The 25,928-nt window shown below is 39.0% G+C and overlaps 1 protein-coding gene across 37 annotated transcripts in view, besides 2 other annotated features; it reads left to right on the top strand.

The window, feature by feature from the left end:
* ATP8B4 (ATPase phospholipid transporting 8B4 (putative)) overlaps nt 1-25,928 on the top strand; it is a 323,617-nt gene that overhangs the window by 58,244 nt on the left and 239,445 nt on the right. For 13 of the 37 annotated variants that reach the window (XR_002957687.2, XM_047433087.1, XM_047433084.1 and 10 more), the window contains exons 1-3: nt 10,232-10,413; nt 13,111-13,202; nt 16,603-16,672. Coding sequence is in view for 30 of the 37 variants with exons in the window: in XM_047433087.1 (XP_047289043.1) it covers nt 13,134-13,202; nt 16,603-16,672 (139 nt within the window). In the remaining 7 variants the exon portion in view is untranslated. Of the gene's footprint in view, nt 1-685; nt 742-3,892; nt 4,280-4,377; nt 4,489-9,105; nt 9,186-10,231; nt 10,414-10,502; nt 10,689-13,110; nt 13,203-16,602; nt 16,673-25,928 lie in introns of those variants that run through there. The other 24 variants (XM_047433094.1, XM_047433090.1, XM_047433088.1 and 21 more) reach the window with 9 other exon arrangements.
* Nucleotides 6,661-7,174: an enhancer, noted in NCBI's record as "NANOG hESC enhancer chr15:50408634-50409147 (GRCh37/hg19 assembly coordinates)". NCBI's record gives its function as "activates a minimal SCP1, AML or CMV promoter by ChIP-STARR-seq in naive H9 embryonic stem cells {active_cell/tissue: H9 hESC(naive)}" and the evidence as "EXISTENCE:reporter gene assay evidence [ECO:0000049][PMID:30033119]".
* Nucleotides 15,471-15,560: an enhancer, noted in NCBI's record as "active region_9390". NCBI's record gives its function as "activates an Ori minimal core promoter by ATAC-STARR-seq in GM12878 lymphoblastoid cells {active_cell/tissue: GM12878}" and the evidence as "EXISTENCE:reporter gene assay evidence [ECO:0000049][PMID:35858748]".

The following is a 25,928-nucleotide window of genomic DNA, read 5'->3' as shown; positions in this document are numbered from 1 at the left end:
GGGTTTTTAAGGATAATTTTGTGGGTAGGGGGTCAGAAAGTGGGGAATGCTGATTGGTCGAGTTGAAGATGAAATCACAGGAGGTTGAACTGGGTTTTCCTTGCTGTCTTCTGTTCCTGGTTAATTCTGTAAACCATTCAGGAGCAATATGGGGAGGTTCAGAATCTTGCAGCCTCTGGCTGCATGACTCCTAAGCCATAATTTTTAATCCTGTAGCTAATTTGTTAGTCCTACAAAGGCAGACTGGTCCCTAGGTAAGAAGGGGGTTTGTTTGGGGAAGGGCTGTTACCATCTTTGTTGCAAAGTTAAACTATAAACTAAATTTTTCCCAAAGTTAGTTCAGCCTATGCCCAGGAATGACAAGGACAGCTTGGAGGTTAGAAGCAAGATGGAGTCAGTTAGGTCAGATGTCTTTCACTGTCATAATCTTCTCACTGTTATAATTTTTGCAAAGGTGGCTTCAGTCTCCTATCTGTTCTGATAAAGAAAATGTAGTCGCATTTGGATTCTGGAGAGATAGTAAAGAAGATACTGACCTTTGTTAGACAATGGCTTATGTGACAGGTGCTGGGTTGTGTGCTATTTATTCTTATTCTATCACTGCATATACAATTTTCATATGAATGCATACTTTTATCCATTTGTTATTTATTTAATGAATATCTCATTTAATCTTCACAAACAGCTTGAGAAGAAGGTTTTAATCTTCCCAATTTTGCAACCAGGAAGTTAAGGCTTAAGGTGGGTGAGTAATTTACACAATGTTCTATGATTTACACTTCAGCAATTCTCATTCTTTAGTGAGTAGGTTTGCAGTGTAGACTCCAGTGTAGACTTTAGGAGATTCAAGTGGGCTTCTAGTCTGCTTGGAGCAGGTGGATAGTTCAAGAATATGCTTATAGAATTATGAAATACTTTGTTCTGATTTTCTTTCATTATTTAGTGCATATTCCCAAATTGCAATTTTAGGCCAGAGCTACTTCTCTGCTGTTTAGGCTGACACCAAGGACTTGGTTTGACATTTCAATCAACTCAATCTTCCCTTGTTGGCCTTAAAAGCAAGCAAGCAAACAAACAGACAAACACAACAAAACCTAAAACTTCTGTTATGACTAAATTCCAGGTAATCAATTAAATCTTAATTTATTTTATTGTTATTAAATTGAATTGACATAAAGTGACTAAATCTACTATTTGTCAATCCCATTCTCAATGTCAGAGACTTAAATTGCAGAATCTCCTCATCTGCACATCTGATTCCTTCCAGCAGCTGATAAGCATCACAGGAGCAGGAATCATATTTTGTTCATCTTTTCTATGTCCCACAAAGTGTCTAGCAGAGTATTTGCATTTGTTGAATGAAAATATGTTAGATCAATTTCTTCCAACTGTAGATTTCAAACTATAGGCCAGGCCATCCCACTTGTTACAGGTAGTTAATCTGTTTATCTAAAACCATAATTCATTGGCTTTCTTAGCTATCTTGGCAGTTAGGCAAGAGATATTTACAGGTTCTAAGAAACATAAGATGCTATTTATTCCGTTGTATATTAGACTTATAGTTGTGTGGTTTCAGATTCTTAAGAATAAAAATTTCCATCTCTTCGTTTTGATGAAATGTGTGTAAAGTTGGAGAACAAGGTAAAAGAGTGAGTAAATTCAGAATTCTTTTTTTCTCTCAAATGCTCAGATACTTAATTAAAATTCCTTTAATATGATCACGAGATTTTTGTCAGGACAAGTTGAGATGATCCTTGAGAAAGCACTTTGAAAACTCTAGACTACAGACATAAAGGACGTTTGTCAAAAGTAAGGCTTTAAAACAAAATAAGGCCTCTTGAAAACACAGACCTGGCGTTCTGACAGTGCACATACTGCCTAATAGGGATGAAAGTTTAAGCTCTGTTTAGCTACCTTTGTATAATGGGAATAAAAGGTTTTTTTTTTCTTGTATCCTAAATCGAGAATTTAAACTGTTTTCTGATTAGCAAGGGTTTGCAGTCACACTAGTAATAGTCCTCTATAAGATGGACATCCTTCTCTGTTCCCCGTCTTTCTACTCCTTATGAAGAAAAAGTAGAAATTTTTGAAAAAGTTGTGCTAGGTATACATAACATGACATTTATCATTTTAACTACCTTTAAGTGTACAGTTCAGTGGCTTTAAGTACATTCACAGTGTTGTATAACTATCACCATTATCCATCTCCAGGACTTTTCCATCATCCCAATCTGAAACCCTGTACCCATTAAACAATACCTTCCCATACTCTCTTCCTGCAGCCCTTGGTAGCCTCTACTCTTTCTGTCTCTGTGAATTCACCTATTCTTCTTGCTGAGCCTTGCTGTTATCATTATTCATTCGACATTATTCATTATTCATGAGTGCTTATTATGGACACCAGGAGTTCAACAGTAAACAAAAGTCCCTGCTCTCAAGGAGCTTTTATTTTAGTGGGAGGGAGACAATAAACAGCGAGCACATTTAAAATATTTTTTAAAAATGAGATTATCTTATACACAATTCTTCTGCAACTTGATCTTTTCACTTGACAGTACATCTTGGACATCTTTTTCTATGTCAGTCTGAAGAGGCCTATCTCTTATTTATAATAGCTAAATTTATTGAGTCTCTACTTTGCTCCAGGCACTGTTTTAGTTGCAACAATCCTATGAGGTAAGTTCTATAATGATCATCTTTTTACAGATGGCCCAGATAAGTGTAGGAGCTTGCATAGTCACCTGGCCAGTCACTGGTGGAGACAGAACTAAACTCAGATGACCTGATTCCTTACTCCAATTCTACCCTCTTTTGAATGGCTACATAGTACTCTTTTGTATCAATATACCTTAACTTATTTAGGCAGTCTCTTATATGTAAGCCATTTTTAGGTGTTTTTTTGTTGTTGCTATCATAGTGCTATAATTAACATATTTAGAGATATGTTTGCACGTGTGTGTGGTTTTCTATAAGGTAAATTCCTAAGAAATAAAAACACATACACATTTCAATACTTGATAGGCACTACTATACTCAGTTTCCTTTAAAAAATATTTTACCAATTTATATTCCCACTAACAGTATAGGAAAAGGAAAAGGCCCTGATTTCCTTATATCTTCTTTAACAAAGGGAATTACCAAACTTATATTTGCCCCATATGATAGGTTTAAAAATGGTATAGAGGTGATACTTAAAAATGTTTTTCACTTAAAAGTGTTTTTTATTTTAAATATTTTAAAGAGATGATTGCTTCCTGCTCTAAGCTGTTCTTGGTCCTCTTTTATCATGTAAGAAAGAAAGCCATCTCTCTTATTTCCAGAAATCTGTAGTTTCTTGTTACTGTGGAACCTTGGTAGGAAAAGGCCCTTGTTTCTGTGAAAACCTGAGGGCCCAGCGTGAGGATGTTCCAGGAGAGTGGAGTTGATGGTGCGCAGGGGATTAGCTTGCTCTGGTTATAGAGACATGATTAAAATCTATTTGATTTCAGTACTTAACTGGCAAATCTGATGCAACTTCTGGAAAATTCCTAGATGGCTTTAGGCATATTTAAAAGAAGCCATATTTTTCCTTTTAAAAATAGATATGCACCAAAATATTTTATTTTCATCTAATCCCGCTTTAACAACCAGAATCCCCTTAAAAGCAATTCCAAACTAAAAGATGTAAATCCATTTCCTATGTGCATTTGTTCTTTGGTACCATCAGGGTTAATGTTTGCATCCTCTGTGCTGAAATTAAGGATGTTGGGAAAGAAGTGTCATTGCTTTGCCTACTAAATGTCACTTGAGTATGCTTAGCTTTCATCCATAAGAGAGCTGAACTTCCCCTGTAAAAAAAAAAAAAAAAAAAAAAAAAAAGTGACAAAAACCCACTGCTGATTCTTTCATCTCTGCAAAAGCAGGTGGGAACTGCAAACAGATTTGCTTATCTTCCTCAGTCAAGGGCTGGTAAAAGTTTGGTAAGTAGGCCTGGTAGCCGGTGTCCCCTTCCATTGTTCATTTTCATCCTCCTGAATTCTTGATTCCCACAGAGGAAGCCATCCTCAGAAGCCAGCCTCTTGGGAGTTTCCTTTTGTTTCCCCAAGATTAACCAGTTCTGTCCTGTCAGCAGGAGCAGGCAACTAGGGGAGGAGAGGCTCTTCAGGGCTTTCAGCATTTTTCCAAGGAGTGCTTTTCTCCCTCAATTCCTCACTGACAGTGAAGCTGCTTTCTTGTAAGGTCTTCCTCTTCTTCTGATGAGATGCTGATTCTGATTGCCATCTAGCAGCTTCCGGTGGTGGTAAGTGGTCAAGAGTGTTTTTCCAGGAGTTGATCTCAGGTTTTTGAGAATGCCCCCTAGAGACCCAGTTTGTTTTCTGTATCATCCCTCAAGCTTTCAGAGTAGCCTTGCTTTTCTCCTTGGCATGGTCACGGAATGGATACCTGTTTGATCTTCCTGCACTGCTGAGAAATCTTCCTTTTGGGGGAGAGGATTAAGTCTGGGTTGAGGTGAGTAGATGGGTAGCATTCAATGGTTAGTGAGATGAAGTGGAAATTTAGCTGTGGGCTGGTTGGAACGATCTGTTTCTTTTCTCCAGATCCCTATTTTGTTTTGCTGTTTTCATCTTGGTGACTAAGGTTTCACAAATATTCTTTATTATTCCCCTTTTGCTAAAAAATAAATTTGGGGGAGTTAGTTGGAAATGGGAGATGTGACATTTTCTTTTTTGTTGTTTGAAATGTCTATTTTTTACTCTGTTAGCATGCCTATTAAATGACCAATGATAGTAGCATAAAGGTACATTTCTTCTTGGTTTGTAGGTCTTTGTCACTTCCTTTGGTAGTAGTTGGTTTTATTTTTTTCACGGGGTTTGTATACAGTGCACCTATTCAATATATTGTTTATGGTCAATTTATGCTTTAGACATGAACAGTTTGCACTGAGCTATCCCTCTGAGGTTTGAGGGTTATGTTTTTAGTGCTAAAATTTGTCTGAACAGAAAAAGGTATCCTTCTAGTTGTTTTGTTTATAGGCAAGAGAGTGTCTCAGGTCCCTGGTTAACAATTAGCTGTTTTGAAGAAAAGAAAACTGGTGAAAAACATTAATTGGAAGCTGAAGTCTTGTTAGAAAGTAAATGAGGAAACACAGGTTTTCTTGTGGGATTACCAACACCTGTGCCCATGAAGTATCCCCTTTTACTCAGCTGTTGCTCCATGCTGGCCTTTACTACAAAATGTAAACTCAGAGTGATTTCAGTTTTGATTTTTTTAAATGTATTTTTTATTTTTTATGTGATATGTAATAACTGCACATATTTATGGGGTACATGTGATATTTTGGTATATGCATACGATGTGTAATTAGCATATATATCACCTCAAACATTTACCATTTCTTTGTGTTGGGAACATTCCAAATCTGCTAGCTATTTTGAGATACAATAAATTATCATTATCTATATCGTTTATTTTATCGTTTATATCTATATCGTTTATTATAAATAAAAAATAAATTATCATTATCTATTGTCATACTACCGTGTTATCAAATACTAGAACCTGTTCCTTCTATCTGACTGTATGTTTGTACCCATTAACCAGCCTACCTTCACCCCCTTCTTCCTCTTCCCCTTCCTAACCTCTGGTAACCACCATTCTCCCTCTCTACCTTCATGAGATCAACTTTTTTAGCTCCCACATATGACAGAGGATATGTGATATTTGTCTTTCTGTGCCTGGCTTATTTTGCTTAACATAATATCCTCCAGTTCCATCCATGTTGCTGCAAATGATAGAGTTTTATTCTTTTTCATGGCTGAATAATATTCCATTGTATATAAATACCACATTTAAAAATTTTATTCCTCAAGAAGAAATATTATTGCTTCCATATCTTGGCTATTGTGAATAGTGCTGCAATAAACAGGGGAGTACAGATATCTCTTCAAGGTACTTATTTCCTTTCTTTTGGATGTATTCCCAGAAGTGGGATTGCTGGATCATATGGTGGATCTGTTTTCACTTTTTTTGAGAAACCACAGAGTGATTTATTTTAACCTATATTGTGCCTTTATATTGTCTCATCATGCAGAAATATTTAAAAATGAGGGAACAAATGATTTTTTTTGTGCCCCTGGAGGATTTTTTTGTGGGTGGGAGAATTTTATTTTTTTCATATGTGGCATATTGAATATTTTCATTTAGTAGGAAAAGAGTTAACTAACCATCTAAAAGTAAATTGGAAATTGTAGCTGTCATTGAAATTAAACTTAATGTATGTTTGGCCAGATGCAGTGGCTCATGCCTGTAATCCCAGCACTTTGGGAGGCTGAGGCAAGTGGATTACTTGAGGTCAGGAGTTCGAGACTACCCTGGCCAACATGATGAAACGCCCTCTCTACTAAAAATACAAAAATTTACCAGGCATGGTGGTGGGCTCCTGTAATCTCAACTACTCAGGAGGCTGAGGCAGGAGAATCGCCTGAACCGTGTGGTGGAGGTTGCAGTGAGCCGAGATCAGGCCACTACACTCCAGCCTGGGTGACAGAGCGAGACTCTGTCTCCACAAAAAAATAAATAAATAAAAAATAAAAAACAAAACTTAATGTGTGTAATCTAAATTCTTGTATAGCATGAGTAAGAATTAGAAACAAGTATTTATTTTTAGAATCTCTCATGAAAAGATATTAAAAAATAGTAACCTCCTAGCAACATTATATATTTCAAATATTAATAAATTCTAATTAAATATTAAATATTATTGATCATTATGTTTTTGGAAACATGTTCCTTCCTTACTTTAAAGCTACCTTGCTTTTCTCTCTCCTTTTATTTACTCAACTGGAGTTTGAGTACCTACCCAGTGCCGGGCACTGTACTAGATGCCTAGGGGAAAAGGTCACAGAGGGAGGGCCACAGCATTTCATTTCAATGGATCCTTCACTGACCTTTCTTTTGAAGTTGAGCGCCCTCTAGAGCTCTGTCCTTGTTCCTCGTCCTCTGTCCTTTCCTCACCTCTCTTTGTTCTTGTCCTTTCTGGGTGAGGTCATTCATTCCCCCTTGACTTCACTCCTTCCTTATATGTTGATGATTCCAAGTCTACAAATCTGTCTTTTTGTCTTTAGTGCTGTGAGGATGTTTTCAATGATCAAGAGGCATTTTAAGCCCACATGTTCAAACTAAATACATTATTTTTTCATCCCAATTCCTTCTTCTGCCCCTCCACCTTCTCCTCCTTTTCCCTTCACTGCTGTATTTATCATCATAGTGGCACCTCTATTCCCTCAGTGTCCCAAGGCAAAAACCTGGAAGTCACCCCAGATTCCTCCTTGTTCTGCATCCAAACACACAGACCATTTATTTTATTTTATTTTACTTGAACAGACAGGGTCTCACTATGTTGCCCAGGCTGGTCTCTAACTCCTGGGCTCAAGCAATCCATCTGCCTCGGCCTTCCAAAGTGCTGGAATTACGGGCATGAGCCACCATGTCTGGCCCATACAGATCATTTATAGACTGCATATTTAACTATGGAAACATTTCTAGAATTCAGCCCCATTTGCCAGTTGTCATTGCTCCTCCATCTCCTCTTGTGCCAGCCCAAACTGTGAGATTAACCTTCCTAAAATCCCTGACAGCCTGGACTGGCACAGAGAGACAAAAGGGAACAAGGATAATGGAAAAGAGGGCTGAATTCTAATTGTGCCATTCTACTTAGATACCTCTTCTGTCTCCCCGCAACCTGCAGGAGCAACCACAGGATCTTGACCATGGCAATGCTCTCTGTCACCTTATCTATAAAATGGGGATAACGGTAATTCCTGCTCGTAGAGTTTTGGTGAGGACTGAATAAGACAACACGTGTCAAGTTCTTAGCACAAGGCCAAGTCCCCAGTGAATGGCAGTGACAATGAGGACAATGATGAAGATGATCCTGTCTTTCAGAATCCAGCTCTTACCTGCCTTGCCAGCCCCATATCACTGCACATTCTTCCTATGCCTGTATGATCTGCTTGCCATGACTATCACTGCTCCGCAAACCTTCCTTCCCTTTCACAACACTTGGCCTTTCCTCACGCTGTTCCTTTGACTTGTCCTTACCTTGTTTTATTTAGCAAGCTCTTCTTTTCCTTTTAAAAGGACTCAACTCAGAATTGCCATCTGTGAGGTCTTCGCTGACTCTGCAAAGCAGGCTTGGTGACTGCCTTTCCTCTGCCTCCATAGTTCTCCATCCCTCCTTCTACCATAGCCCTGCACTCATCATCCTTTTTTAAAATTTTTATTTATTTATTTATTTTGAGACAGGGTCTTCTGTGTCACCCAGGCTGGAGTGAAGTGGCACAATCACAGCTCACTGCAGCCTTGAGCTTCTGGGCTCAAGTGGTCCTCCCACTTTAGCCTCCCAAGCAGTGGGACTGGAGGCATGAGCCACCATGCCTGGCTAATTTTTTGTAAAGACAGGGTTTCGCCATGTTTCCCAGACTGGTCTCAAACTCCTGGACTCAAGTGAGGAGATAGAGGGCATCTGCCCACCTTGGCCTCCCAAAGTGTTGGGATTACAGGTGTGAGCTACTGTGTCTGGCCTACACTCACGATTCGAATGGTCTTTTATGTTTCTGTCTGCTCTCATCTTCCCCAGACTGTGGGCTTTTGAAAGACTGGAAATGAATTTTTGCCTCCCTCATGCCCAGCCCATGTTAGCTATAGAGTAGGCACCTGATAAGTCTTTGATAATTGAATGTCAGTAGAGGGAGGACATGGTTCTCAAATTTGGTAGGAGGTTTTTTCCATGTGGAGAGTTAAAAAAATACATTTTAAGAAAAATAAAAATAATCATCGCTTTCCCTTATTGAGTACTAACTTTGTGGCAGCAGGCATTGAGCTAATTTCTTTATGGAGATGGCTTGGTTTAGTTTTCCTAGTGATCCTATGAGTTACTCTGATTGTCCACAGAGGAGAAAACTGGAGCTTAGAAGGGAGGGGAACTTGCTTGAGATTCTAGGGTTAACAGGAGCAAACTTGGGCGGCCTAACGCCAGCACTGGTGGAGCAATAGGGAAGTGAGAAGAGGAAGGAAGATGGCCAAAGCAGGGTTGAGAGAAGAGGGACAGGATGAGGACAAGGAGGGGAAAATGAGAAAGAGACCAGCAAGAGCAGACTAGGAAAGGAAGAGAAGGGAAGGAGAAAAGGAAACTAGAATGCATTTCTGTAAGTACTTCCAATGTTGCCTGAAGTTTTGATTGAAGTAACTCAGGAATGGAAAACCAAACATCGTATGTTCTCACTTATAAGTGGGAGCTAAGCTATGAGGATGCAAAGGCATAAGAATGGCACAGTGGACTTTATGGACTCAGGGGGAAAGGGTAGGAAGGGAGTGAGGAATAAAGGACTACAAATTGGGTGCAGTGTATACTACTCATGTGATGGGTGCACCAAAATCTCACAGATCACCACTAAAGAACTTACTCATGTAACCAAACTGTTTCCCAATAGTCTATGAAAATTAAAAAAAAAAAAAAAAAAAAAAAAAGAAACTAGGAGACCAAGAAGGAAAATGAACAGGGGATATGTGAGAGGACGAAGAGAAGCTTTGAAATGTTGTGGCTGGGTAATGGCTGCATGACTAGAATATAAAGAGACTCCTGTATGGACATGACAACTCACAACAATTAACCTGCTGTATGTTATACAGTAAATATAACAATAATTTATTGTTGAGGCACGGTAATTGCATATACCTGTAGTTGCAAGCCATTTATAAATTTGGCTTTTTTTTTTTTTTTTTTTTTTTTTTTGAGATGGAGTTTCGTGTTGTTGCCCGGGCTGGAGTGCAATGGCATGATCTCAGCTCACCGCAACCTCTGCCTCCCGGGCTCAAGTGATTCTCCTGCCTCAGCCTCCTGAGTAGCTGGGATTACAGGCATGTGCCACCACGCCCAGCTAATTTTTGTATTTTTAGTAAAGACGGAGTTTTTCCATGTTGGTCAGGCTGGTCTCGAACTCCTGACCTCAGGTGATCCACCCACCTCGGCCTCCCAAAGTGCTGGGATTACAGGTGTGAGCCACCGCTCCTGGCCTTATAAATTTGGCTTTTACACACACCCATACGTACACACATACACACATACACAGATTGGCTTAATTTTTTTTTTACTTCTACTTTTGTACAGTTCCTACAATCTACAAGCACTGTGGCTATTGGCAGCTGTCACTGATACCAAATAGAATTATCTTTAGCTCCCACCCTCACCCTCACACTCAAAACTGCACACATGCAGGACAGAAGCCTGGGCTTGTTCCTTTTTCTCTCGCTGTCTCAGCTCCCAAGGCTGAGATTACTCTGCTTCATCTGGATCGCCCATCTCTGGGGTCTCATGGCTGAGTTTCAGTTCCCCAATCCTACCTGCTCCTCAGGGGGCCAGCACTGGGGCTGCAGGTAATATTTTGGGTTGGCAGGCAGGGATGCCTGTGGGACAGCAAGGTCACCCCTACATGGGTCCCAGGGTGGGAGGACTCTCTGAGGCTTTGCTCTTCAGGCTCTGGGAACCTAGGGCCAGAGGGAGGAAGGGGGAAGGGCTGGGCAGCTGGAGGAGAGAAGGGCTTGTTCCTTCCTCCTGTCATCCTTGCTTGACATCCTAAGACCCAGCTCCTGCTCAAGACCACACTGGTGCAGCCCTCACAGGGAGCCTCTTCCTCTCCACGCTTGGTTGGGTTAGTCCTCAGAGAGATGGTGGGTTGGGATGGGAAGCAGGGGCCTTGTTGAGAATTGTGAAAAAATGTTAGGGAAACGGAAAGGAAACTGGGAGAGAAGGAGATGGAGTAAGAGGAGAAAAAGTAGACTGGGGAGGTGGAAATGAGATGGAGGGAACACACTTTTATGGAGTGAACTGTTCTTACCTGTGTACTTAACCTCACACAGCTTGGAGGAAGGCATTCCCATCTCCACTTTACAGATGTGGAGATTGAGTCTCAGGCAGGGTACATGACTTGCTCAAAGTAATGCTAGATAGAAAGCCACTGAACTGGGACTTGAACCTTGCTATTCTAAAAGTCTCTCCTGTGTAACACTCTGCCTCCAAAGAGGAGAGGAGGCAAGCCGAACGGAACAGAGAAAGGAGCATAGAAGGAGATCTGGGGTTGGGCACGTTAGATATTGAGTCTGGGCTTGGGCATGTTCCATATTGGGTCCCTTCCTCCTTGGCCTGCTTTTTCCTGAGTCTTCAGAGAACTGGAGAGCACCCACACCCAAAGGAAGTAGAAGATCCCCACCCTGGTGGGGACACTTCAGTTACTCCCTAGGCTCTCAGATAGGAGACAGACAGGGAGGGGCTCGCCTGGGCAGGTCTCTGGGCCAGCAAGGGGGGCTGCCAAGGCTCTGCCTGTGCTTTTTCCTGGCCTGCACTGTTCCTGTCTCTTCCTCAACTGCCCTGGCTCCTTCCTTTTCCCTTTTTCCAATCTCCTCTAATTCCTTTGCTTTTCTGTCACTCTACTTCATATTTTCAATCTTTCTCTTTCCACTGGCCCCAACCCCTCAGTTTACCACATGCCCTCTAGCTCCTCACTGCAAACAGAGCTTCTCTTTAAGTCCCATCACCTGTTCACCCTTATGTCCATTTATTTATTTATTTTTATAGAGACCAGGTCTCACAATTTGCTCAGGCTGGTCTAGAACTTCTGGATTCAAACAATCCTCCCACTTCAGCCTCCCAAAGTGTTGGGATTACAGGCATGAGCCACCCCGCCCAGCCATTATCTCCTTTCTTTTATTGCAGAATGTCTTAAAGGAGTTACACTCGCTGTCCTCATTTGTTCCTAATGTTTATGCAGAAATGTTGACAAAGAGACATCAATGGTCTGCCTTTAAGATAACTAATATCAAATGTACACTCTCATTATGTGCCCTGTCCCCACGACCCACCCAGGTTGGCTCTGAGGTTTACAGAGCTTATTTGCCCCAGATTCTGTAATGAGTTAGTAGAAAAAGCAGGAATCCAAGAACAGGGCGTGTGGCCCCAAAGGACAGGCTTCTACCATGTCCTGCTTCCCCATCCCCCCGAACAGCTCCGAGGGCTGTTCTCTTGGATGGCTTTTGGTGAGTTTACTATGGCCAGAGTGGGCCATTTGTCCTGTAGACTTTGGACCATAATTCAATAGCACACCCAAAACAGATCTTTCTGGGGGCAGATTAATAGTAGCTCAGGAAACTGATGATATAAAATAAGAATGACAATTTATTAATTTAAAATACATACTCTAACTGTCAGGAGAACCAGAATGTTCACTTCAGCATGACAAGTGCATTCTTTCCCTGTGGGCAGGCTTCTGTGGGAAAGCAAATTATTATCAGCAGGTTGCTTGGTGAGCATGGAATCAGAGCAAGGGGAATTAGCTGTAATAACTTGACTGCTGAACGGCCTCAGATCATTAAAGAGACTCTCCATTTTAATTCTTTGCTTAAAGTGTTGAGTCACCTGCACCCAGATGTGCCCATTTTCACTGTAAGAAGAGACTTCCTTGTGGAAGGCTGCCCTCTTCCTCACAGGATGCTTAAATAGCAGTTCCAGCATGGAGGTCTTGGTATCTTCAATATCAAGGTGTCTAAAACCAACTCTTTAATTTCCCTGTACAAACTGGCATCTTCTTTTGACTTTGCTATTTCTTGCATTAGAAAACTATTTTCTGTGACCAAGATTCAACACCCAAACTTGAAATGTAAAAAAAAAAAGTATTTATGGAAGTATGAATTTCAATCTTTAAAACAAATATGCACTGCTTTTTAAATTAATATATGTAAAGTCCTTAGCTATTATTTGCTACATTCCTCTCTCTACTTTCTCACACTTCCCTTATTAAAAGCAACCCTCTAGGATTTTCACATGAAGAAACTACCATTTTAATCCCTGGCATAAGATGAAGCTAAGGGTAACATAAGACTCATCTAGCAGCTTTCCCTTTTCCATTTCCTCTACTTTGAGGCAGTTTTTAAGAGGGAGAACTTATTCTTGTAAATATTGTTTGCTTCAGTACTTGTAAAGGGTTAAATTTCAAAATCCTAAGTTCCTGCTTCTAGAGCTAGACTTGACTTTAGCAAACCTTTTTCTTTCAACTGATTTTGTTTAATCTATTTCCTTAGATCTTTACTGTTCCAAAAGTTCAATGAAAGATGACTTTTTCTTTACTCTGACAACCTTTAGAGGTGGAGCGAGTGTCAGTGGTGGTATTTCGGTGAGTTGATAAATTTGCAAGAATGACAGGACTAAATGTTGCTTCTAGAGTTAAACTAGAATCTGCTACATTACTATGAGTCCTCCGTAAAGTATACCTGATTGCCATTGCTACTAGAAAAAGACTGGATTTGAGGAAACATGGACTTGAATGTCAATTCTTATTTTTTCGATGTTACTTTATGTTTTAGAGTGACAACACTTGACTAGGATCATTAATAAGAAACAACTTCTGGAAATCTTATAGAAATATTGTTTATTTCATGCAATAGTGATTATATAATTACCGTGACAGAATATTTTCTACAAAATGAAAAATGGCTAAAATTGAAAAATGGATTTATTCAGTATGTTCAAAATAAAAGGTTTCAAAGACACTTTGGAAGATGGTATTGGAGAAATTAACAGTAGCAACATAGCTGTATGTTTTAAAAGTAATTTTAGGAAGAATATGGAAGAATATGACATTGCTTTATGTTTGAATGTCTAGGAACTTTTAAAATGAGAAGTGCTAGCAGGAAGATCTAAAATAAGATAGAGAAGAGGTTACATGGATATATTCTCCTTAGTTACCTTATATTACACAATTGTATTAAGTTCATGTTTGTTAACTGTTAGTACCAGTACCTCACACCAATCTAGCATCCAATAAGGACAAAGAAAGGATAAGCTGCCAAGTGCCTGGTACTTTGATTAGCTTTCTGAGAGATAAATGTCTTCTGCTTGCATTCTCATTGCCGCTGTTTGGGTGTAGAGTCCCCTTTTTTTTCATCTTGCTTGAAGAATTGTTCTTCCTTTCCTCTGCTCTGGGGACTCAGCCAATGAACACAGAACATGTTGACTTAGTCCCACTGGAGAATTTTCAAGCCCTGACAAGTTGGCTTAGAGCTTGCTGATGAGCCTTTACCCTCTGGCCAAGTGGGGCCACCAGATACAGATGTCGTTGTCACAGAATTCATTCACCTGCCCAATACCATTTTGTATTTGTTGCTATGACTATTCGTGAAACAAAAACAATTTTGTTTTTTGTTTGTTTTTTGAGTATTTTGTGAAACAAAGAAACAACAAAGTCCTTCATGGATGAAAACTCACTTTTGTCTGTGGTATTTTTGACAGGAAGTCTTTACCACCAAACATCCTTTTTGTGAATCTTCCTTTATAACTCTAGTGCCTCCTCTCCCCAGGTTTGCTCATTTTCTCTTCTTTCTTCTGCTCTTCAATTTGCCTGCAGCACTCTTCCTATTGCTAACCCAGTTTTGCTCATGCTTTGAGGTTCTTCCCAGGCTGAAGATAAGGGTGTGTAGGAAGATAGGGACCAGAAAACAGGAGGGAGCAGCCAAAAAAGCTGCAGCCACTCCAGCTTGGGAAGGCAGATCTAGGACATTTTGGGGCCGGGGTCTGGGATCCAGGGAGGGATAGTTGCTAAAAGGAAAGTGTCTTTTAGCATCTGGAAGCCCTTCCTCCATTTCTAATATAAATTAATTTTTCATTCAACAAGTGTTTACTGAGCATTACTACGTGCCAGACAGGCATTAGATGCTGGAGATACAGCTATGGAGCCTTGTCCTAAAAGAGTTTGTGGAATAATGGGGAAATAGCCGATATAATAGAAAAATGTATTCTAGAGTGATAGGGGCTCTCACATGGGCAGTGCCAGGTTCTACGGGAACACACAGGAAGTGCTCCTCCTATCTCTGATTTGGGGAGGTCAGAGAAGGCCTCCTAAAGGAAATGAAATATGAGTTGACATTGGACAGATGAATAGGAGCTAGTCGGATAAAGGGGGTGGAGACAGATGGCTACAGGCAGAGGGAAGAGCATGTGTGAAGGCCCCCAAATGGAAAGAGGCTGAGTTGTATATTTCTGGAGTGCAGACATGAGGCGGTGCAGGGAAGCATGGGAGCAGGGAAGGAGAGTGATGAGGAAACAGGCTGGAAAGATGAGCAGGGATCAAGTCGCAGAAGGTCCTAGGAGTCATGTTAGAGTTTTTTTCCTGAGGCCAACAAGAGGTGTTTGCAGGGTTTTTAGCAGGGGTGTGACATGATGCCATTCCCCTTTATAATGATAACTCTGGCTTTGATGTGGAGACTGGTCTACAGGTGGCCAAGCCTGGAACAAGGGAGGAACATAGAGGGAGAGCAAGCACTGGTCAGCAGGCATGTCCTGGAGATAACCCACTGCCTGGGGCTGGGGTGGGGGAGTAGAGAGGCGGGGCTAGGAGGGATGGTCTTGGGCAGCCTTGCTGGCAGCTGGTTGAAGATGTGGAGGGAGCAACAGGGGAGTTACTGATGGGGTCATATTTGATGACCTAGCCTTGCTTTTAGCAACACCCGGCAGCGACACCCCTATGTCCTTGCTTGGATTCGTAAGTTTTAGTAACCTGGCCCCTAGAAAACACTGGGTCCTGCAAAGTATCACTGACCCTATTTGTTAGGCATACTCCAGGGGCCAGAAAAGGAAGAAATGATGGTCTCAGGCTTTTTAGACTTCTCGGGGATCTGTAGTGGAGCAGTGCGTGTTGATGAACTTCCTCTGCAACCTCTTTTCTTGTAACTACTAAGCCATAAGTGTTGTTCTTCCCCTTCTCTGGTCACCATATGACTGACCAACTTCTTCTTTATGTGTGTTGGCCGCATCCTGCCACACCACTTTCCTGAGCAGGAAGCAAACCAGTCATTTTTTTTCTAACTGAAAGAGCATGTGGTCAGTACCTCTGCCTGCACTGTCATGTGTTTGCAAAGGTGCATTTATTTCCTTGGTCTTTTGGGTTTTGAATGTTTGAAATTACTTGTTTGCTCCTTCATTTATCATTCTAAATCTCTAAGAGTTTACAATGTGAAGAAAATTAGACCACATGTAGGGAAAAAATGAAATATAATAATGATATTATTCTGGTTTAAAAAAAATAACTGCCTGGAGAAGACTACGTTCATGAGAATAAATTGAGGAAAAGTTTTGGATTGCATTTTGTTTCTCTAGAGCCTGGGCAATAATTTCCTGTCACACATAGCTCTCGAAGTTCAGTTGTGGTTCTCAGCTGTGGCTTGTGAAAGAATCACCTATGGCATTTAAATAAAAGGCAGATTCTGGAACCTCACCCCTGAGATATTCTGATTCACAGGATTTGAGATATATTTGATTCAATTTGAATGCCAAATTGAGTGGCGCATTTGTGCTTACCTTGAGTTGTCTCATACGGCCTTTAAAATACAAATAGATTATTTTTGTACAGAATTATTCTTATCTGGCTGGACTAAAGCCTCATAAATTAAATCTGTTGTTCTTTCCTGTGTCAGTGACTTCCTAATTACCTAGATTTGTCTAGGAAGAAAGTTAAAGGAGGTAAATTTATAGTTATTGTGCATTTTTCAGATACTAATATGCATACTTCTTTTTCTTAGGTAGGCCACCTGTTGAGACCTGGTGAAAGATCAGGTATAATAATGTTCTGCAGTGAAAAGAAATTGCGTGGTAAGTTTTGAGTTCTTCCAATGATGCAAAGTGATATTTTAAAAATATAATTTTAATTTTTTCATGGAAGTTTAATTTATATATAAAAAGCACACAGGTCTAGGTGTTCAGCTCAGTGAACTTCGACGATTATATACACCCATGTAACTACAAAGGGTGTATAAAACAAGATATAGAACATTGATTTCTATCACCCCAGAAAGTTCCCTTGTGCTCCTTTTCGTTCATTCTTTCTACACTCACTGTGACCATCTTTTGATTTCTGTCAGATCAGTTTTACCTACTTTTGAAATGAATATAAATGAAATCATACAGTATGTGTTCTTTCGTATTGCTGCTTTTGCTCAGCATAAGGTTTTTGACATATACCTATACAGTTGCATGTATTAATAGTTTGTTCTTCATTTTAAATTTCAAAGCAGTGTTCCATTGTGTGAACACACCAACATTTAAAACAGAGTTCGTATAGTTAGAAATAATTTTGATCATGATAGCAGAAAACACACTTTGTTTTTTAGGTTGAGTAATTTGGTTGAGTAATTAATAGTATTATTAACACTTTTCAGTTTGCTGAATCCAATTTCTTTAATATAGCGTCCACACCAGAGAGTGTTGATTGTCTCTTTTGTCTCTAGTTAGTCAGTGACAGGCTATTATGTACTTTTTCCTTCAGTGGACGTGTGTCCAACCTATTATGGCTGTTTTCTTTATTTTTGACCATAGACTCTTTAGAGACTAAAGGCTGGATTAGAGTTTACATAGTGCCCTGTCCTTCCTTCCAATATCGTCCCTGATAGGTGGTTAACCTACTTCTGCAGGTAATTATATCATGATGCACTTCATTCTCTTATTGGATACTTATTCATTGCAACATTTAGTCTCATAATGAGCTGAACTCTGTCTCAATGTGGTTCCCACCCACAGGCCATTAATTATGCCCTCTGGGGCAATATATTCATATTCCCAATGCTAATCAGGAGTCTAGAATTATTGCCACCCATTTTTTTTCCTGTAAAATGATTTATTTATATACAATCTTAATAGTGTGAAGATAAGATTAACTGACTTTAACACAAACAAGTTTTCAACAGGACCCAGTGTTGCAAACTTTTGATGTGTTCTGACATGATCTGAGATCCAGGTCTTATTCTCTTAAACAGTAATTCATATGTATATGTATATATTAATGCATATATGTAAAAGTAGGAAATTTTTGGAAATAAAAATAAGAAAGCATAAGTCGCTGTAATCATGCCACCTAGAAATAACTACTTGAGGTTGCTGTGTTGCACAACTTTACAGGGCTCTAATTATAGTGACCTCTATTAATGTATTTGTGTATATCGATCCAAATATATATCCCCAAATGGAATTATCCTGTACATTATTTTGAAACCTCCTCTTTAAACTTAGAATTATAATCACAGACATCTTTTATGTCTTTAAACATTTCTCAATAACATTATTTTTATTTACATTTCCCCTAACTTTTAATTTTGAAAATGTTGAATTTTACAGAATTGAAAGAATGATATGATGAACACGCAGAAACCCTTCACCTTAATTATACAATTATTACTATTTTGCCACATGTGCTTCCTTACTGTCTGTCTCTTTTTCTATACAAACACGTGCCCTCATATGTACAAACACACACGTGGGGTCTTTTTTTTTTTTTTTTTTCAAATTTCAGTAAGTTTTTGGGGAATAGGTAGTGTTTGGTTACATGAGTAAGTTCTTTAGTGGTGATTTCTGAGATTTGGTGCACCCATCACCTGAGCAGTATACACTGTTCCCAATTTGTAGTCTTTTTTCCCTCACTCTCCCTGCCACCCTTTCCCCCAAGTCCCCAAAATCCATTGTATCATTCTTATGCCTTTGCATCCTCATAGCTTAGCTCCCACTTATGGGTGAGGACATATGATGTTTGGTTTTCCATTCCTGAGTTACTTCACTTAGAATAATGGTCTCCAATTCCATCCAGGTTGCTGCAAATGCCATTATTTCGTTCATTCTTATGGCTGAGTAGTATTCCATAGTGTATATATGGGTGTGTGTGTGTGTGTGTGTGTATGCAACATTTTCTTTATTTGCTCGTTGATTGATGGGCATTTTGGCTGCTTCCATATTTTTTGCGATTGAGAATTGTGCTGCTATAAACATGCGTGTGCAAGTATCTTTTTTGTATAATGACTTCTCTTCCTCTGGGTAGATACCCAGGAGTGGGATTGCTGGGTCAAATGGTAGATCTACTTTTAGTTCTTCAGGGAATCTTCACACTGTTTTCCATAATGGTTGTACTAGATTACATTCCCACCAACAGTGTAAACATATTTCCTTTTTACCACATCTACATCAACATTTATTATTTTTTGATTATGGCCTTTCTTGCAGCAGGGAGGTGGTATCACATTGTGGTTTTGATTTGCATTTCCCTGATAATTAGTGATGTTGAGCATTTTTTCATATATTTGTTGGCCATTTGTATATCCTCTTTTGAGAATTGTCTATTCATGTCCTTAGGCCACTTTTTGATGGGATCCGTTTGTTTTTTTTCTTGCTGATTTGTTTGAGTTCCTTGTAGATTCTGGATATTAGTCTTTTGTCGGATGTATAGATTGTGAAGATTTTTCTCCTACACTGTGGGTTGTCTATTGGCTGATTATTTCTTTTGCTGTGCAGAAGCTTTTTAGTTTAATGAAGTACCATTTATTTATGTTTGTTTTTGTTGCATTTGCTCTTGGGTTCTTGGTCATGAAATCTTTGCGTAAGCCAGTGTCTAGAAGGGTTTTTCTCATGTTATCTTCTATAATTTTTATAGTTTCAGTTCTTAGATTTAAGTCTTTGATTCATCTTGAGTTGATTTTTGTATAAGGTGAGAGATGAGAATCCAGTTTCATTCTTCCACATGTGGCTTGCCAATTATCCCAGCACCATTTGTTAAATTGGGTATCCTTTCCCCCATTGATGATTTTGTTTGATTTGTCGAAGATCAGGTGACTGTAAATATTTAGCTTTACTTCTGGCTTCTCTATTCTGTTGCATTGGTCTACATGCCTGTTTTTATACCAGTATTATGCTGTTTTGGTGCCTAGGGCCTTATAGTATAGTTTGAAGTCGGGTAATGTAATGCTTCTAGATTTGTTCTTTTTGCTTAGTCTTGCTTTGGCTATGTGGGCTCTTTTTGGTTCCACATGAATTTTAGTATTGTTTTTTCTAGTTCTGTGAAAAATGATGTTGGTATTTTGATGGGAATTGCATTGAATTTGTAGATTGCTTTTGGCAGTATAGTCATTTTTACAATATTGATTCTACCCATCCATGAGCATGTGTTTCCATTTGTTTGTGTCATCTATGATTTCTTTCAGCAGTGTTTTATAGTCTTCCTTGTAGAGGTCTTTCACCTCCTTGGTTAAGTATATTCCTAAGTATCTTTTTTATGGCTATGATAAAAAGGTTTGAGTTCTTCATTTGATTCTCAGCTTGATTGCTGTTGGTGTATAGCAGGGCTACTGATTTGTGTATATTAATTTTGTATCCTGAAACTGATGAATTCATTTACCGTTTCTAGGAGCTTTTTGGAAGAGTCTTTAGGGTTTTCTAGGTGTGTGATCATGTCATCAGCAAACAGCAACAGTTTGACTTCCTCTTTACTGATTTGGATGCCCTTTATTTCTTTCTCTTGTCTGATTGCTCTGGCTAGGACTTCCAGTACTATGTTGAATAGAAGTGGTGAAAATGGGCATCCTTGTCTTGTTCCAGTTCTCAGGGGGAATGCTTTCAACTTTTCCCTATTCAATATAATGTTGGCTGTGGGTTTGTCATAGATGGCTTTTATTAACTTAAGGTGTGCTCTTTCTATGCTGATTTTGCTGAGGGTTTTAATCATAAAGGGATGCTGGATTTTGTCAAATACTTTTTCTGCATCTATTGAGATGATCATGTGATTTTTGTTTTTAATTCTCTTTATGTGGTGTATCACATTTATTGACTTGTGTATGTTAAACCATCCCTGCATCCCTGGTACGAAACTCGCTTGATTATGTTGGAGAATCTTTTTGATATGTTGTTGGATTTGGTTAGCTGGTATTTTGTTGAGGAGTTTTACATCTATATTCATAAAGGATATTGTTCTGTAGTTTTTTTTTTTTTGTTATGTCCATCCCTGGTTTTGGTATTAGGGTGATACTGGCTTCATAGAATGATTTAGGGAGGATTCTCTCTTTGTCTATCTTGTGGAATAGTGTCAAAAGGATTGGTACCAATTCTTTGAATGTCTGATAGAATTCATTTGTGAATTCTTGTGATCCTGGACTTTTTTGTTGTTGGCAACTTTTAAATTACCATTTCAATCTCACTGTTTGTTATTGGTCTGTTCAGAGTTTCTGTTTGTTCCCGGTTTAATCTAGGAGGGTTGTATATTTCCAGGAATTTATTCATCTCCTTTAGGTTTTCCAGTTTATGGATGTAAAGGTGTTCATAGTGGCCTTGAATGATCTTTTGTATTTCTGTGGTATTGGTTGTAATATCTCCTGTTTCATTTCTAATTGAGCTTATTTGGATCTTCTCTCTTCTTTTCTTGGTTAATCTCACTAATGGTCTATCAATTTTATTTACCTTTTCAAAGATTCAGCTTTTTGTTTCATTTGTCTTTTGTGTGGTTTTTTTTTGTTTCAAATTCATTTAGTGTGCTCTGATCTTGGTTATTTCTTTTCTTCTGCTGGGCTTGGGTTTGGTTTGTTCTTGTTTCTCTAGTTCCTTGAGATGTGACCTTAGATTGTCTATTTGTGCTCTTTCAGACTTTTTGATGTAGGCATTTAATGCTATGAAGTTTCCTCTTAGCACCGCTTTTGCTGTATCCCAGAGGTTTTGTTAGGTTGTGTCACTATTATTGTTCAGTTTGAAGAATTTCTAAATTTCCATCTTGATTTCATTGTTGACCCAATGATCATTCAGGAGCAGGTTATTTAATTTCCATTTATTTGCATGGTTTTAAGGGTTCCTTTTGGAGTTGATTTCCAATTTTATTCCACTGTGGTTTAAGAGAGTACTTGCTATAATTTCAATTTTCTTAAATTTGTTGAGACTTGTTTTGTGGACTTTCATATGGTCTGTCTTGGAGAATATTCCATGTGCTGATGAATAGAATGTGTATTCTGCATTTGTTGGGTAGAATGTTCTGTAAATATCTGTTAAGTCCATCTGTTTTAGGGTATAGTTTAAGTTCATCGTTTCCTTGTTGACTTTCTGTCTTGATGACCCGTCTAGTGCTGTTAGTAGAGTACTAAAGTCTCCCACTATTATTGTGTTGCTGTCTATCTTGTTTCTTAGGTCTAGTAGTAATTGTTTTATAAATTTGGGAGCTCAAGTGTTAGGTGCATATATATTTAACATTGTGATAATCTCCTTTTGGACTAGTCCTTTTATCATTATATAATTTCCCTCTTTGTCTTTTTTAACTGCTGTTGCTTTAAGGTTTCTTTTGTCTGTTATGAGAATAGCTACTTCTGCTTGCTTTTGTTGTCCATGTGCATAGAATATCTTTTTCCACCCCATTACCTTAAGTTTATGTGAGTCTTTATGACACACAGGTTTCTGTTGTTTTTGTCAAATGTTGTAGACATCATGACACTTACCCCAAATACTTCAGCACACATCCCCTAAGAACAAGGACATTCTCCTGCATACCCACATTATCATCACCATACCTGAGAAATGTAACATTGATAAATGGCATATATCCCATTTTTCACTTTCCTCAGTAGTCCCCAGTACATCTCATCTCTTGGAATTGGTTTTAATTTTTGGTACAGTATCCAATCAATGTTCGTAAACTGAATTTGGCTAATTCCTTTATTTTCTTTTAAATTTAAAATAATTTTTCATTATTTTGAATTTTGGGAATGTCTAGTCTAACCATTTTATTGAATATTCTAGCATGGTTTAATTTCTTCTAAAGTAATTTGGGTTAAACATTTTTGGCACAAATACTGTGTACATAATTGTTTTTTTATTAATTAGTTAATTGACACATTAATTAGTTAATTGACAGTTTTTTGATGAGGAATGGAACTTGTTAATCCTCCTCACACAGAACTTCATTTTACAGACAAATGCTAATTGCTATATAGTGAGTCTAAGTTTTGGCTGTGTAACTGTGTCTGCATTCGCTTCCTGACAGTGACTGGCAGAGAAAGCTGAGGCCAGTCACTTCTTCTTGGACTTGTTACAATGGCCCATGACCTGCAAGACTGATGTGATAAAATGATCACCATCATTTGTATCATCATGAGTGGGACTGACACATCTTTAGATGACATCAGTTTCTGTAGATCTGGCAATAGTCTGGAGAGCTTTTTATTTTAACCTAAAACATGCATTCATTTATTTAGTCACTCCACAAACATTTTTGAGTCCTTATAATTTGTGAGGTAGCACCAACCTTGACTTCAAATGGCTTTTTATAATTCAATAAAATATATGTATTCTAATACAATTTTTAAGTTGATGGTAGCAAGGATAACTTAAAATAGTTTATTAAACATCACTATAAGTGGTATATTTGCCTACAAGTGGTATATTTACCTACAAGTGGTATCTTTGCCAGAGGGGCACAGACTGGAGATCTAATCAGCCTGGAGTTGTCAGAGGGAAAAATCATGCAGAGATGATATTTTATCTCAGTGAGAAAGTTCACGTCTGCAGCCTTTAATAAAGTTGCCCTTACATTTCTATGCACTTTCACAACATCATTGGGAAGCATAGGACATTGATGATGTGTGTGAAAATTTGACAAGCCAGCCATGGGTCTTGTGGGGAAATAACAATTTTCTCCCAGATATGCTTTATTCTTTATTATCTCCATATTCAGATGTCTTGCATTCTTTTTTTTTTTTTTTTTTTGAGATGGAGTTTTGCTCTTGTTGCCCAGGCTGGAGTGCAGTGGTGTGATCTCAGCTCACCGCAACCTCCGCCTCCCAGATTCAAGCAATTCTCCTGCCTCAGCCTCCCAAGTAGCTGGGATTACAGGCATGCACCACTACGCCTGGCTAATTTTGTATTTTTAGTAGAGATGGGGTTTCTCCATGTTGAGGTTGGTCTTGAACTCCTGACCTCAGGTGATCTGCCCGCCTCGGCCTCCCAAAGTGCTGGGATTACAGGCGTGAGCCACCGCGCCTGGCATGTCTTGCATTCTTTAAGATGTAAAAAGGTCTAGCCCCTTGACTCAAATGTTTAAAACATTATGATTACAGTCTATTTATGATTACAGTCTATTTTCTGTTTGTTCTTTGAAATTCACTCTTTCCTTATAGCTTGTATGAGAGGCCCAAAGACAAATTGTTTTGAAGTGTACAAGTGACAGGGTGCAGTGGCTCACACCTGCAATCTCAGCACTTCAGGAGGCTGAGGTAGGAGGATCGCTTGAGGTCAGGAGTTTTAGACCAGAGTGGGCCACGCAGTGAGACCCCTGTCTCTACCAAAAATTTAAAAAGTAGCCGGGCATGGTGGCACGTGCCTGTAGTTCCAGCTCCTTGGGGGACTGAGGTGGGAGGATCACATGGACCCAGGAGATTGAGGCTTCAGTGAGCTCTGATTGTGCTACTGCACTCCTGCCTGAGTGACAGACTGGGACCTAGTCTCTAAAAAAAGAAAAGAAAAGAAAAAAAATTGTACACATGCTTTTCCGCAATCAGGAAGAAGGTTGTTTATGGGTAAAATACCTAATTCAGATCTCATTAGTTTAGAAATATGGGAAGCAAAAGAAGTACATAATTAGAGGCCTTCTTTAAACCAGCTTAGCTGTTCTTTATTCCAAAATGTGGGGGTTGTGGAGCCAGAACACATTACTGCCTTAGTATGTTTATGGGGTGTAGGGTAGGATGAATCAGACCGGGGCTGTGTATGTCTTCTGTGGGCTCTAGGCACTTTTGCCTTTGTGGGTCCCTTCCTCCATAAAAACACATGAAAAATTATGTTTGATGAATATGTCAGTATAAAGACAAATATAATCCAGGTTAGATTCATTATTATGTATCCATTACTATTATATTCATTTTTCCTCTGATTTTGAAATAAATGAAAATTGAAACAGTTTTGTGGGCTCTTGAAAATATCATGGGCCCTAGGCACTCTGCCTACTATGCCTCATGGATAAGTCAGCCCTGAATCAGATATGCATACTGGGGTGAAATAGCCTTCCAGAGAGCAACTCTGTATATCTTGGGGAGGAGAGAGGGAGACAGCTTCTTATGCTTATTTTTGTGAATCTACATATAGAAAGTAGTTAAATATGCTTTTAGTGGGAGTAGTCCTTTCAAGTTATTATTGCCACTATAAGTTAAAAACCATGTGGTAGACTGGGCTTGGTGGCTCATGCCTGTTATCCTAGTGCTTTGGGAGGCTGAGGTGGGAGGATCACTTGAGGCCAGGAGTTTGAGACCAGCCTGGGCCACATAGCAATACCTTGTCTCTGCAAAAAATTAAAAATTAGCTGGGCATGGTGGCATGGTTCTGTACTACTCAGGAGACTGAGCTCGGAGGATAGCTTGAGCCCAGGAGGTCAAGGTTGCAGTGAGCTATGATTGTGCCATTGTACTCCAGCCTGTGTGACAGAGTGAGACCCTATCTAAAAAAAAAAAAAAAAAAAAAAAAAAAAAAAAAAAAAAAAAAAATCACCTGACAATACAGAACTGTATGGTACTCATGTATTTTCATGACACAACCAAAATCTTTAATTTTTTCTTGGCAGCTTACACATACTATTTCAATTTAGATGGCTGTGACATAACAGATCAATAGCATAAGAATTTACTGGGTTTGCCCAGAGTGATGGTTTACAAGGCTCTGTTAATATTCTGTAATTGTCCTTTGTGAACACAATTGTTGCATGACAGAAACAACATGAGTCAGAAGTGATAGGAATGAACCTGGTTCTACTTACCAGGCATTTGTATTCAAATCCTCTGAGCCTCAATTTTCGCATTTGTAAAATGGGACTAATGTTTACCTCTGAAGGTTACTGTGAGCATGAACGTAAAATGAAATATATGTGAAGTAACTCATAAATTATAAAAGCAGTATGTAAATGTTAGTACTGAATTCATAGATATATGATACAGTTCATTGATTTCTAGGTTTTTCTCCTGAAAACTCCTAATTTCTAAGTTTTACAAAAATAGTGTTGTCCAGTTTTATGGCTGACATGAGCATTATATACACAGGTGGGTTTCCTATTTACTGAGGTGACTTGTATAGG

Source organism: Homo sapiens, chromosome 15 (assembly GCF_000001405.40).
Source record: "Homo sapiens chromosome 15, GRCh38.p14 Primary Assembly".
In the NCBI taxonomy this organism is placed as follows: domain Eukaryota; kingdom Metazoa; phylum Chordata; class Mammalia; order Primates; family Hominidae; genus Homo; species Homo sapiens.
Note: the sequence above shows the minus strand (reverse complement) of the source record. Positions and strands in the feature narration are given on the sequence as shown.